Genomic DNA, 14521 nt, shown 5'->3' with positions numbered 1-14521 from the left:
CCTTAGCCAGGGACCATGCACTTCCCTGCTTCCATATCATTTAAAGGGAGCATGCCCTTCTCTACCCAGCACTTTTGTATCAATACCGTTTGTCCATTTCCCTTTTGGATTGCTGGATTGTTTCCTGTTGATTTGTAAGAGCGCTTTATGTATTAAGGAAATTAGTCCTTTGTCTGAAGCGCACATGATGTGGGTGAGCCCTTGGCTGTGCGGGGCTGAATTGAGAGTCCATGAGAGGGAGGAGGAGCCTGGTGCGTGCTGAGTGTTAGTTGCCGTGTGGATAACCAGGGAGTGTTCCTCAGGCCCCTGCGTGAGGATTCCACCATAAAACACATCCATCAGGAGCTGTCCTTCAAGGTGGGAAAGGGATGTGGAGAAACAAGTGGGGCGTGAACTGCGGCCCGGGAAGCTTCAGCCACTGTGAGGCAGAGGCAGGTGGACTCACTCTGGTTGGCCAGAACCTACTGTGCTCAAAACCTCTCCAGGCCAGACGGAGGAGGATACAGGGAAACGGTTGCTCAGGGCGTGGAGCCGAGGTGGCAGACAGACCTGAGGACACAGCTTTGGTCTGGGCGTGGAGCTGAGGTGGCAGACAGACCTGGGGACCCAGCTTTGGTTCATTTCACAAGCAGCACAGCACCTACATTATTCTTAAATTGCTTTTTGCCAGTATTTAGAGATCAGAGACTTCACATGCAAATCCAGATTTCTCACTTCCTTACAAAAATAAGACCCAGCAACATGGACCTGCACCCTCCTAGTCACCACTGGCCACCTTGGGCTGGAGGCAGTGTGCCCTCTCATCCCCCTGCCCACATGGCTTTTCTCACGGGAGCAAAATATTTCTCAGTGAAGAGGGAATAAGCAAAAGACAAGCCAAGAGGGCCGCATGCTCCAAGGAAAATTGGGAGAGTATATTTCTTTCTGGAAATGCAGACCGTTTCTCTCTGTTCAACATGTGAACAAAATATGTCTAGGTCAGAGAGATGGGGCATCGGGAAACACGCCCAGCCTAGCAGGGACCCACAGGTCGAGGGTCAGGGAGGCCCGAGTGAGAATTGCTGTGGTGTGAGGCCTGCGGCCGGCAGCGTGTTGTCAGGATGGCGCCTACGGATGTCAGGGTGTGCCGGGAGCCATGGCGACAGCTCCCAAGAAAAAGAGGAGAAGACGGTGGTAGCGTGCACCCACCGCATGGCTGCAGTAAGCGCACAGCATCCACCTGCCCCGCTGACCTCACGCCGCCCTCATGCTCTCCCTGTAAATGACGGCCAGGAAGGAAACCGATGTAGACTCCACGGCCAACTGCTCCCACCAAGGAGATACAGACAATCCGCCCGCATCCACGCTGCGCCTCGTCCTACCCTGTCCTGTCTCCACCTGCTCAGAAGTAGCATAAGGATAACTAAGTTTTCCATTTATCCAATAGGCGTTTTTGGCCCGTTTATTTATTCATTTTGCCAAGCCCCATGTGGGTACCTGGGGACTTAGAGAGGGGTCAAGGGCCACCTCAGTCTTCCAGGAGTTCACTGTAGAGCCTGTGTGTGCATGTGCACGTTTGTGTGTGTGCATGTGTGTGCCTGAGTGTGCATGTCACATATGCACACACGTGTGACATGCACACACATCCATAGACTCACATACACGCACATGCACTCACATACACTCACATGTGATGAATGTATGCATGTGCGTTTGTGTGCATGTAAGAGCATTCGTGTGTGTGAGTGCATTCATGTGTGAGTGTGCGTCTGTGAGTGTATGTGTGTGTGCATTCATGTGAGTGTGCATGTGAGTATGCGAGTGCATTCACGCGTGAGTGCATGCGTGTGCGAGTGCATTCGCGTGTGTGTGAGTGCATTCGTGTGAGTGTGAGTGCATGTGTGTGAGTGCATTCGTATGAGTGTGCATGTGAGTGTGAGTCCATTTGTGTGTGAGTGCATTCGTGTGTGAGTGTGCGTGTGTGAGTGCGTTCGTGTGAGTGCATGTGTGTATGTGACTGCATGCGTGTGTGTGAGTGCATTCGTGTGTGCGTGTTTGTGAGTGTCTGAGTGCATTCGTGTGTATATGAGTGCATTTGTGTGAGTGTGCATGTGTGTATGTGAGTGCGTTCGTGTGTGTGTGTATGAGTGCATTCGTGTGAGTGTGCATGTGTGTATGTGACTGCGTGCATGTGTGTGTGTGCATGTGTCTGAGGAGTGATCACTGAGCAGGCCAGCCTGTGATGGTGACACCCCAGAGCGCTCTCCTAGAGGTGGTGCCACGCAAGGCTGGCAAATGGTAGTTAGCAAAATACTTGACGAGTGAATGAACAATGAACAAATGAATGAAAATGAAGGTTTTGGGAGCCAGAGAAGGAGACAGTGACTTGTCCTGGTGGAGGGCATGGGCCCAGGGCAGGCAGGTAGGAACTGTTGCAAACAGGAGGAAAGTCAGGCTGGACCTGGAAGCAGGGGGAGGGGTTGCCTGGCAGAAAGTGGCAACAGGACTGGGTGCTCTGGGGAGGGTGCTCCTGCCCTGGGAGAAGCATGCTGGAGGTTCGGAGGCAGCTGGGCCCTGCAGGGGCTGCTGCCAGACTTGATGCCCTCTCAGGGCTTGGCAGGAGTCAGTTCACAACATGCAATGCTGTGATGGCAGCCACGTCACCTCTGCAGGGCAGGCAGGAGCACATGGGCAGCTGGTTGGGAGCACAGGCCAGAGGGCCACCCACCCAGCCCATCTCAGTGAGCCACAGGCCTGCCGCTGGCTGCTACCTGGAAGGGTCACACCAGCTTTTAAGCAAGAAGAGGAAACCCCAGCCTTTTAAAGTAGAATTAGGATGATTTCTATAGTTTCTGCCCGGCCAGCTGCTGGTCCAGTCTTCTGAGCCCTTGCAGTGTTGAGGGCAGCTGGGGCCCGGCAAGCAGGGCCTTTGCCATCCTCTCTGCAGGCAGGGTGGCCCTCCCTCCCCTCCTGGTTCTCAGGGTGGCCCTGGGATCTGGGCTTGTAGTGCATCCCTGCCACCTGCCCCGGTTGGGGAGGAAAGGCCCTGTGAGGCTGCCTTGGGGATTAAATTTTCAGGACTCAGCACTCACTCTGATTTCTGATTTCCTCCCTTCTCGAAATAGGGCTGATCAAATTAAGCCTCGTCAACACCGTGGTCTGGGTGCTGTGTGGGGAGTATGAGGAGCCCCTTCCCTCCTCAACTGCAGCTGGGATATTCTAGGGCAGGAAGCATCATGGGACAGGAGTGTGTGGGGTCCACCAGGGCCAATTGTCACCACCCCCAAACTCAGGCTTCTGGACCCACGGAGTTCACACAGGAAGACAAATGGGAGGAACCCCCGTCCCTGCAGGGTTGGATGGCCTGGCCTCTGGGCTCAGAGTGGCGGCTGCACTGGGGGCCTCTCGGTGCTGTCTCTGAGTCTGCACCTTGGGATTTACCCGTGGGAGAGGCAGGTCTGAGAGAAGATCCCACAGCCAGGCGTGAAGGACAGGAGAGACCAGAAACAAAGGTTGGGCAGGCCTGCTCCTCAGCCCCATGGGGGGCTGGAGCAGAGGGAAGGAGGACATGTGGTTTGGGGGCCCAGCAGCCTGAGGGGAAAGGGAGGTCCCTGACACTCACTGGGAGAGAGGGCTGAGGGTCTGGCAAGTTCCAGGGTCTTGAGCTGAGGGGGGCGTGGTGAGCATTGCATCACCTCTGCGGGGGGCTCTTCTCTGGGCAGATCCAGGGAGCCTGGCTGCTGCCCGCCCACATGGGGTTTCCCTGCCCCCTCAGGAGGCGCAGGGGCATGGGAGCGTCCTGGAGGATGGGACATCAGGGCATGGGAGCATCAAGAGGCCCCAGGCCTCACCACCCTTCCACCCCCAGCATGGGGGAGGGCTGGGGTGGTCCCCGGGGTTGTCCTCGGTCACTCCTGCTCCTTGAGCAGGTCCTGGTCAGACATGGACTGTGCTTGGTGCCACGACTGAAAGTGGGGGGTCTTTGTGCCCAAGGGTCATGGTGGGTGATGGCAGCAAGGTCCTCAGCTGGGCCAGGGCCCTGGTACTTTCAGCTCCCTCTTGGCTGCTGGACCAGGTGCAATCACCACCATGGGCCATTGGAAGCTCGGGATGCGGGGGACAGAGCCAGATGCTGGGGTCACGCAGGGGTGCCTGTTGCCTGGGCCCAGGGCTTGTTCCCTCATTTGCGTAAGAGAGGTCCCGTGCCCACTCCACCGGCTACCATGAAGAAGAAACAGGAGGTGTGTGAAGTCCCTGGTGCCTGGGCATCTGAGGAACTCTTCCTCCTAGGAAGGCAGCTTGGTGGCACAGTGTGGCCCACCGTGCAGGGCTGCCCCAGGTCCCACAATCAGCTAGGAAGAGCCTGTGCTTGGCTGCAGCACCCCAGCACTGCTGTGTGCCTGGACTCCTGACCTAGAGGGGTCAGGAAGGAGGAGGGAGCAGAGGCAGGTGCTGAGTCCCTGCACGTGGCTCATGGCCGGGTAGGAGAGGGCCTCATTTGCACAGGGTCGGGCAGCATCTGAGACCTCCCGCTTGTGTTGGCTGCAAGCTCTTCCCAGGGGACCAGGACCTCACCCCTGCAGGGCCCACGCCCACCCTGCATGAACGCAGGGCTCAACATCAAAGGACGTGAAGGCCACAACAAGGGAAACTGAGGTTGGCAGGTAAAGAAATGCCTTGGAACTTGGATTTGAAGAGTGCAGAGATGGGGGAGGCGCAGATGCTGCTGGAGTCAGGAGCGTGGGCAGTACAGAGGGCATAGAGCGTGGAGGGGTAGGTTCCAGAGACCCTGAGGAGTGAGGAGGGAGCTGCCTTTGAGGGAGGGGGAGAGGCAGGTTCTGCTCCTGGCATGGACCTGGCTGCATGCGGGCCCCACTCCCTAGGTGGACGATGCAGCTGGCAGTGCAGCCGGAGGTGCACGTGCGGGCAGAGGAGGCAGCAGGCCCTGGACCTTCTGAGTGTGAGGTACCTGAGGCCTTCCGGGGAGCAATGCCAGGCTTCCAGATGATGTCCAAATCAGGGGCTCTGGAGCATGTACCGGACTGGTGACAGGGATTTTCCGCCTGTCATCTGCTGAGCCACTGGCCAAGCCTCCGGCCACATGGGTCCCGTGGCACTGGCTGTCAGCACCCCACTTGCCGGCCCCCACCTCCTCTGCGTTCAGAACACAACCCCTGGGAATTCTCCCTTCCTTTGGGACCCGTGGGGATCTTCGTTTTGTTCTGAAGTTCACAGTGAATATTTTCAATAAAAGACCTGCCGGCCTCTCCATCGGCCCCCACCACTTGGCTGCCGCGTGCTGCGGTGCCCCCGTGACATTACCCAGGCCAGCTCCCCTTCCCTGGGCCAACTGCCCAGCAGAGGGAAGGCTTGGAGCCCTGGGGGCTGTGGTGAGTCCTGGGGACCCTCCCTGGCTTAAGCAGATGCTAGGCAGGGGCAGGGCTTGCTGGCTCTTGTCACCCGCCCCAGCCTCTGAAGGCCCCGAGACCCCCGTGAATCCTTGGAGGTGAGTGGGCTGCAGAGGCCGCTGGAGAGTGGCACGGGGCAGGTGCAGAGGAGCCTCGGTAGTTCGGCGGGTGCTGGGGGGACGAAGGGGAAGTTGTGTTTGGGAACCTCTGTGGGGGCTGTAGACAGGAGGCCCCAGCCCTGGGGTGAAGAGGGGGAAGTTGTGTTTGGGAACCTCTGTGAGGGCTGTAGACAGGAAGCCCCAGCCCTGCTGCAGGACACCTCAGAGGGGCTCGCACAGCTGCTGGTCACTCAGCATGGCCCTGCTGGCTTGGGCTCAACCTCAGCAGCCTCACACCTCTGCTGGGCACCATTTCCCAAGGACACGTATCTGGGAGCCGGACCAGAGCCTGGCCCCTTTTCTGGTCATAGACCTTAAATACTGCAGACCTTCTCCTCGCCCCACACTGGGAGGTGCAGGCACAGGGCAGAAGAGAGTGGCCTGGTCTGATGCCTCAATCGTTCAAGAGAGCTGTGGCTGCAAAGCCAAACCATGGTGTCTCTCTCAGGCCAGCACATTTGGCTGTGTCTGTGTTTGTAAGGGCACACAGGACTCTCGTGGTTGCAAGAGACAGAGAGCTAAATGAATTGACCTGAAGAATTAGGATGTCCAGGGGTGCATCACCTTCAGCCATAGCTGGATTTGGGGACCTGAACAGTGTCAGCAGCACACGGGGCTGCCCTCATCTCTCGCCTCTGCTGCTCCTGGGGGAAGGAGGTACTTAGCAGTCCCAGAGTCACATTTTCCCAGCAGAGAGGAAAGCACGGGAGTCTTCCTGTGCACACCAACACACAGCATCAGGTTCCAGTGGCCTAACAGGACCCCTTGGGCACTCCTGGAGCTGGGGTGCAGTGGGATTGGCTCCCCATGAGCCATATGGGGTGCAAATAGGGGAGGGTGGTTTACTAGCAGAAAAGGTGTAATGGCCAGACAGGGCAGGCCACCGTGCTGTGCAACCCCAGGTGGCTCTGTGAGGGTGTGCAGGTGCTGGGCAGGCCAGGACCTTCTGTGTCCACCACTGAGGGGTGTCCTTTGTCCTCTGCTGTGCGGGGGTATGTTCTGAGGACTGGCCCGGAGAGGCCTTCTCTCCTTTAGTGCTTCCTTTTTCTCCCTGAAGCATGGCTGAGGCTGAGCAGGCCTGGGCTGGAGCGTCCATCTGTCCGCGGGGCAGCCCATCCCGTGGGAGTTTAGAGAACTGTCAGGACTGCCCCTGAGATTCGGCACAGCGGTTCCTGATGCGCTCCTGATGGCCAGGCCGGCCCCAGGAGCCCCTCCCCACCCTCCGATCCACCTCAGGTCATAAAAATGGCATTGGATGAGCTGTGTCTGTTGAAGTTGCAAAAATTAATTCAAAGTCAGTAATAAAGTTATAAAGGGCTGGGATGTAATAATCCTAATGAGCATCTTTTAATAAAGTACACCAGTGGGGCTCTGTGCTGATGGCCCCCGTGGGGCTGAGCCTGCCTTCTGCTTCCCAGAGCCTCCAAAGAGCCTGCCTGCTTCCAAGCAGGGCTTTCTGCTGTGTCCTGATTACACTTCCACATAAACATATTTCATCTTAATGATTATCTTTAGGGGAATACACAGCCACAGAGCGACTCTCTCTTGGTTAGTAAGAAATGGAGGGGATGACCTTGTTCCCGTTGACCTCCCCTGGGTGGGGCTCCTCATGTTGGAGGAGAGGCTGCTGGTGCTCCAGGCTTTGGTCCTCCTGAGCCTGGTGGTGGCCCCTGCAGGCCCTGGCAGTGCTTGTGTGCAGGAACTGGGCTGGCATTCTGGCCTGGCCATTTGCCAACATCATGGCCTTAGTCTAATTCCCTGAGCCTCCCTCTCCTCTTCTGGGCAGTGTGGCAGTTCTGGCTCTGCAGGGCGGTCATTAGGACTTACGTTTTGGGGACTCCTAAGCACTGGAAAAAGGATGACTTGTTCCCATCCACATGGTTGGCAGGTTGAGGCAGTAGCACAGCACCTCTGTCTGTGTGCAGGTGCCTCAGTGAGTGTGCCGTCTGCCCTCAGGCCATCCCCTACCTAGTGAGTGTGCCGTCTGCCCTCAGGCCATCCCCTACCTAGTGAGTGTGCCTGTCTGCCCTCAGGCCATCCCCTAGTGAGTGTGCCCATCCCCCCCTTGCGCCATCCCCTAGTGAGTGTGCCCATCCCCCCTCACACCATCCCCTAGCAAGTGTGCCATCTGCCCTTGCATTCAGCCAGCAGAGTCCAGCAGAGTGGGAAACTGCTCACAGGGGATGGGGCAGCTAAGGAGAGGGCTGGGAAAGAGCCCTAGGCTTGGAACCCAAAGCCCGCCCAACAGCAAGATGATAAAAAGGTGCCTCGCTACATTTTCTTCTAGCACTTCCATGACTTCCTTTTGATCATCTCATCCACTTGGAATCTGTTTTTGCTTAAGGCATGAGGTCAAAATTTGACCTTTTCCTCCCTCTAACCAGTTGTCCTAACATCATTAAAACAAAGAAAGAAACAAAAGCCATTTATCTCCCCAGCCTGCTCTCTTCCTTCTGATTTTCTCCTGCAGTGAGCAACCATTTCAGGTGATCAAACCGTATCCTTTCCTTAGTGTACATTTTTGCAACATGAGTGTTGCTGTCTTGCGTCTGTGTATCCATAATTTATGTAAGTCGCTCTGAATTGTGTCTCATTCTGTTTCTTACCTTTTGCACTTGGCACTCTGTTTTTAAGATCCATCCATCTATGTAGATATCAAACTTCTAACCTTGGTAGCACTTTGTGGGATGCCCCCACCACATTTGCTTCTCCTCTCACCCACTGATGACCCCCGTGTTGTTTCCAGCTCCCCTCACTCCACCCAAGCAATGCTGCAAGGGGCAGCTCCCCATTGCCTCCTTACAGACCTGTGCAAGTTTGCCCATCTGCAAGCCAGTCCATGGGGCCGAACAATGGCCCATGGGCCAAGGGTCAGTCCAAGGAGGGCACTGGGCTATCCGATAGACATCCTGTATCTTTAGGATATGAGCCGCATGGTGCTCTTCCTCATGATCCCCTCAGTAGTGCCAGACTGCCAGGTTGTCCCCTCCTGCTCCACCTCCGCCGTTTCCTAGCACCGTTTGCTACCTGTATCATTTACTAATTTTATTCACTGTATTGCTACTTGAGCAACTATTTATAATTACATGCAAATGAATATCAAAGACGATTAATATTAAAGTGGAGAGCTGGCACACGCTGGCAGTGTAAGGAGAGGGCGGCACTGCCCCCGCTGGATGGAGGCTCCCGGAGGTGAGCAGATCAGTCTCCAGGTCGTGGTCTGACTTCTGCTTCTCCGGGAACTGACAAGGCCCCTCCTGGGGAAGTCGTGAGCAAGGTCTCGAGGAAGTCTTGGGCTCAGCACAGTCAGGCACCTGGTAGGGCCCAGGTGGGGACCACGCGCTGGACCTGCAGCGGAAATACGGTCAGAGGGAGGGGGCTGACCTGTACGTCCTGCTTCTAAGCTCGCCACGGCCTGCCTCCAGCTCTCGGTGGGGGGAAAGCTGGAAACTTCTGTGAATGTTGTGCGTCCTCAGCAGAGGAGGGGAGCGCCCCTCATCGGCACATGGCCAAGCCAAGTACTGCCAAGAACCTAGGCCAGGCTCTCCTGGGCATTTTGTCCCCGGGCTACAGATGGCCTGATGGAGGTGGGGTCTTGGTGAAGACAGTTCACCCCGTGGGTCACGCTGCTCAGTATGGCTCAGTCGCTCTCCACATCTGGTGCAGAGCCATCACCTCAGGGTCACTTCTCGCCACCCTCCATGGGCCTCCCAGGCCATGTCTTCTGTGTTGGGCTCCCGTTTTCTCTATCTGTGTTGGGCTTCCGTTTTCTATATCTGTGTCTTACTCTTTCTTTGTTGCCTTTTTTGTTTTTGATGGTGCACACCTTTCAGTAGCTTCTTGAGAGGAGTGCTTGTCACATAAATCTTTTGAGAACTGACATGTCTAGAAATGTCCTTATTCCACTTTCATACTTGATGGGGAATGTGTCTGGATGCAGAATTCCAGTTGGACAATCATTTTCCTTCAGAATTCTGAAGGCTTTCCTCCACTGTTTTCCTGCATCGAATGCTGCTTTTGAGAACTCTGAGTCATTCTGATTCCAATTCTTTGTCTATGACCTCTCCTGTAACCTGATTTTCCCCCTTCTTATTCTCCGGGAGACTTTGTAGAATGTGGCTGTCTTCATGGCCAGCCTGGGATTCAGCTTTCTTGATGTACCAAGTCTGTTACCACTTGCCCATCTGTTTCCAGCCTCCCACAGTTCCCTTGTTGTTTCTTCCCCTCCTGCTCTGCCTATCCTTGGAGGCTTGTGACTTTAAATTTTTTTTAAATTTCTTTACTGAACTTTTAATGGGATTCTAGAAAGGAGCCAAATCAGATATCTGTGTTCAATCCGCCATTTTAACCTGGAAACCCCACATATTCTTGGATCTGTTTTTGGAAGTTTTTTTGTTTTGTTTTGTGTTTTTGAGACGGAGTTTCACTCTTGTTGCTCAGGCTGGAGTGCAATGGCGTGATCTCAGCTTACCACAGCCTCCGCCTCCCCGGTTCAAGCGATTCTCCTGCCTCAGCCTCCCGAGTAGCTGGGATTACAGGCATGCACCACCATGCCCAGCTAATTTTGTATTTTTAGTAGAGATAGGGTTTCTCCATATTGGTCAGGCTGGTCTCAAACTCCCAACCTCAGGTGATCCACCCGCCTCGGCCTCCCAAAGTACTGGAATTACAGGCGTGAGCCACTGCACCCAGCCTGTTTTTGGAAGTTTTATTCAGCTCCATTGATCTGTTTCTTTCATGACATTGACACAACTACGTTTTCATTAATATTATTTTATAATACACTGCATTAATTTGAAAAAAATATGCCTCCTCATTGTCATTCTTTTTCATTATTTTTCTGTCTGGTGTGGTCTTCCGGATGAATGTTGGAATCACTTTGTTGGGTTTTAACAATTATTTGATGGAGATTATTTGGCGGAGAATAATTTTAACAATTATTTTAACAATTATTCGACGGAGATTATTTGACAGAGAATAATTTTAACAATTATTCGACGGAGATTATTTGACGGAGAATAATTTTAACAATTATTTTAACAATTATTTGATGGAGATTATGCCAAATTTCTTGATTCATTTGGAGGAGGACCAACTTCCAGTCCAGGATTATGTCCATGTAGCTTCATTTACTGAGGTCTTCTTTTGTGTTTTTGGAGACCTTAGACTATATTATACTACTTTTTGTGTAGTCGTTGAACATTCATTAGTTTTTGTTTGTTCTTAGATACTTGGGAGTTTTGCTGTTATAGCTGATAAGCTCTTTTTTCCACTCTGCTTTCTTGCGGGTTATTCCTATGTTCAAGAAGTCTTGATCTTTGCATTATTTTATGTGAGATGAGGAGTATCTGTTCCTTGTGGATTTGGTTAAACTCTTCTATGGAAGCATTTCTTTGACTGCTCTTTCAATTTCTTCTGAGGTTATTGGTTTCTTCAGGTTTTCTACTTGAGCCATGAGTGGAATGTATATTTTCTATTTAGTCTAGGCCTATTAGAATGGTGCTTTTAATTTCAGATGTTTAGGGTTTAGGGTTTTATTGTTATCTCTGATTTTGTCTCAGTAATGGTGATTGTGGGCACGGCTTTTGAGTTGTGTCCTAATGTGTCTCAGTAATGGTGACTGTGGGCACGATTTTTGAGTTGTGTCCTAATGTGTCTCAGTAATGGTGACTGTGAGCACGATTTTTGAGTTGTGTCCTAATGTGTCTCAGTAATGGTGACTGTGGGCACGGCTTTTGAGTTGTGTCCTAATGTGTCTCAGTAATGGTGACTGTGGGCACGGCTTTTGAGTTTTTGAGTTGTGTCCTAATGTGGTAAAATGTGGAACTTCTCCCGTGTGTGCTTGACAAGGTCACGTGTTCTGGCTGTTGGGTTTGAACGTTAGGTTTTCCTATTAATTCAAATAGTTTCTATCCCTACCTAATGCTGTATCAGACTTGTCTGGAATAAATGTATTACAGTGCTCCTATCACTGTGGCCTTGTCTCTCCTTCCTTGCACCAGGTTGAAGCTTTAGGAGCATAAAGTTTCGTATCTTTTGTATTTTTTTCCATGAGTTGTTTGTTTTATCAGTTTATCTCCTTAAATGCCTTGGTTGGCAATTACATGGTACGTTTCTTTGCCCCACTTGTTTTAACTCCTCCTGGTCATTTGGACTTGGTTATGCCATATGCAAGTAATTTGTAGCTGGATTTTGTTCCATCTCATGCTTCTCCAACTGCCACCACACTTTTGCTCCTGTTCTCGGCTCCCCACCCCCAGTGTGGCCCCTCCGGCCCTGCTGCACCTGCCTCTCCTTCTATCCCAGTTCCCAACTCCCCAGAGGCCCCCAGCTCGCCTCTGCTGGGCCCTCTGTTCCCAGAGCACCTCTCTGCCATGGCTCCAGGCCCCTCACAGCCCTGCGGTTACCTGTGGGGCACTGGGGACACTGAGGCACACCAGACCCCATGGTCTCCATCCCCCAGGGTTCTCTATCTGAGAGGGAAAGTCAGTTAATGCCCAGGCAAATTCACAAATGAGACAAGACCTGCCTGCAGTGGAGTGTCACAGGAAGGAAGAGCACGGGGTGCTGTCGGGAGAAATCAGGGGAGGGCTGATTTCAATTTGGGATGAAATAAGGAAAGTTCTCCCTTAGGAGCTGACATTTCAGCAGACACCTGAAGGAAGAGAGCAATGAGGGGGCGGCCATCCCATGGAGAGGGGACAGCAGTCGGCCGTGTCACTGAACAGTGTGGTCCTCAGGTTTTAAGCATCCCTGCCCCGGCCCCTGTCCCTGTCGTCCCCTAGTGGCACGCAGTGTGGCTGTGCAGGAGGCAGATGGGGGCAGAACATGCTCCTGTCTTTCAAGAGCTCTGAGTCCCATGGGAGGCAGCGGGCTCCCTTCCTTCTGGGTCTTTCAGGGGGCCTAAATTTGGCCAGCACAGCGGCAGCAGCAAAAAGGGCATCGCAGGTGAAGAGGCCAGCCCAGAAAAGGCATAGGACTGAGCTTCGCACAGGGGACAGCGAACACCCAGCCACCCTTAGCACTGCAAAGCCCCTGCCTGACCTCAGAGCCCACACCTGCCCACTGCACTTGCCCTCAGCCCACACCTGCCCACTGCACCCGCCCTCAGGCCCACACCTGCCCACTGCACCCGCCCTCAGGGCCCACACCTGCCCACTGCACCCGCCCTCAGGGCCCACACCTGCCCACTGCACCCGCCCTCAGGGCCCACACCTGCCCACTGCACCCGCCCTCAGGGCCCACACCTGCCCACTGAACCCACCCTCAGGGCCCACGCCTGCCCACTGCACCTGCCCTCAGGACCCACGCCTGCTCACTGCACCTGCCTTCGGAGCCCACACCTGCCCACAAAGCCCGTGCCTGCCCACTGCACCCGCCCTCAGGGCCCACACGTGCCCACTGAACCCACCCTCAGGGCCCACGCCTGCCCACTGCACCTGCCTTCAGAGCCCACACCTGCCCACAGAGCCCATGCCTGCCCACTGCACCCGCCCTCAGGGCCCACACGTGCCCACTGAACCCACCCTCAGGGCCCACACCTGCTCACTGCACCTGCCTTCAGGGCCCACGCCTGCTCACTGCACCTGCCTTCAGAGCCCACACCTGCCCACAGAGCCCGTGCCTGCCCACTGCACCTGCCCACAGATCCCACACCTGCCCACTGTACCCACCCTCAGAGCCCGCACCATCCCACGATGCTCCCGAGGTTGCAGACTCAGTCCCAGGTTTTCTCTTCTCTAGTCTAATCATACTTGTTTCTACAATTCTCATTCCCGCAAATCACCCCTCAGTGCTGGTGAAGTACAGAAGGGCTCCGGGCATGTGGACAACGTTGGACTCAGAGGCCTGGGCGCGTGCCCACTCCTCCTCTCTGGTGGTGTGGCTTGTCCGAGTCATGTAATTTTCCTGCTCCTTGGTTTGTTTCCCTGATGCTGAAATAGGACGATATGCTGATGGTGACACGCCTCCACCTTGGCGAGGGGATTGGATGGCTGCTGGGGGTATGGAGCTGCCACTGTGAAGGGCTGTGCACACACCCCTGCCTGGAGACTCGGGGTGTGCCTAGGATGCTGGCAGTTGCAGCCCTTGCCCACGTGCCCTGTGCACTGTGGCACTGTGGATGAGCCCGTGGCTACTGTGACCCACCCGTTCCCCTGATGGAATTCCCTGGACAGAACTGCTGCCTCCCCTCATTCCATCCTCTCCCTGTTTATTGATTGACTCTTCGATAGAGTCTTTTTGTTCCATTCTAGAGACTCTAAAACAGGATGGCTCTGGAGTGCTTCCCACAGTGTCATTATTTGGCCACGATGTGAGCAAAGAGATCTCCAGCTGCCATCCAAAAGGGGCCCTGAGCACAGGGAATGCCAGGAACTCGAAAGCTCTGTGTTACCTATTTAAAAGATGGGATCCTGCCACAGACACCTCCCTTCAGGGTAGCTGCAGCCCACCTGGGTATGACTTCTGGGGCTTGGTCAATCAGCACCCCCAGGGGGCCCAGTGCCTTCTTGTGGGGAAGGCTGCACACAGAGGAAAGGAAGGCCAAGGGCAGTGTCATCCTCCTGCCTCTGCAGGAGATGGGTGCGCTGATCACTCATCCAGGCGGGGTGAGTGCCGAGGGATACAGCAGAGGCTGTGTGAGCTCCCAGTCACCACAGCTCAGCAGGGCTGGGCTACACAGGGAGCTCCCAGGGGAGGAGGGGAGAGCAGCAAATAGCCCTCTTCTGCCTTGGAGGGACCAAGTGGAACAGGGGCTGTTAGACCAGGTAGGCAACCAGTGCAGGTGGGCAGGCCCAAGGCCAAGGTTGACTTCAAAGGGATCACTAGGAAGACGACTCAGGACCACGCCAGGCCCACTGGCCAGAGCTCCCTATAGCAAGGCTCTATTTGGGGAACAGGTCTGCAAGGGCCAGCATGTGGTCAGAGTCTCTTCATGGCCTGGGTTAAGCCCAATGTGGGAAAAACTGAGGTGGC

The 14521-nt window shown here is 54.6% G+C and overlaps 1 protein-coding gene across 4 annotated transcripts in view, besides 1 other annotated feature; it reads left to right on the top strand.

Moving 5' to 3' along the window:
- ADAMTS2 (ADAM metallopeptidase with thrombospondin type 1 motif 2) overlaps positions 1–14521 on the top strand; it is a 234609-nt gene that overhangs the window by 120056 nt on the left and 100032 nt on the right. The window lies entirely within an intron of this gene.
- Positions 7059–7914: an enhancer, noted in NCBI's record as "H3K4me1 hESC enhancer chr5:178644493-178645348 (GRCh37/hg19 assembly coordinates)". NCBI's record gives its function as "activates a minimal SCP1, AML or CMV promoter by ChIP-STARR-seq in naive H9 embryonic stem cells {active_cell/tissue: H9 hESC(naive)}" and the evidence as "EXISTENCE:reporter gene assay evidence [ECO:0000049][PMID:30033119]".

Source organism: Homo sapiens, chromosome 5 (assembly GCF_000001405.40).
Source record: "Homo sapiens chromosome 5, GRCh38.p14 Primary Assembly".
In the NCBI taxonomy this organism is placed as follows: Eukaryota; Metazoa; Chordata; class Mammalia; order Primates; family Hominidae; genus Homo; species Homo sapiens.
This window is presented reverse-complemented; position numbering and strand designations above follow the sequence as displayed.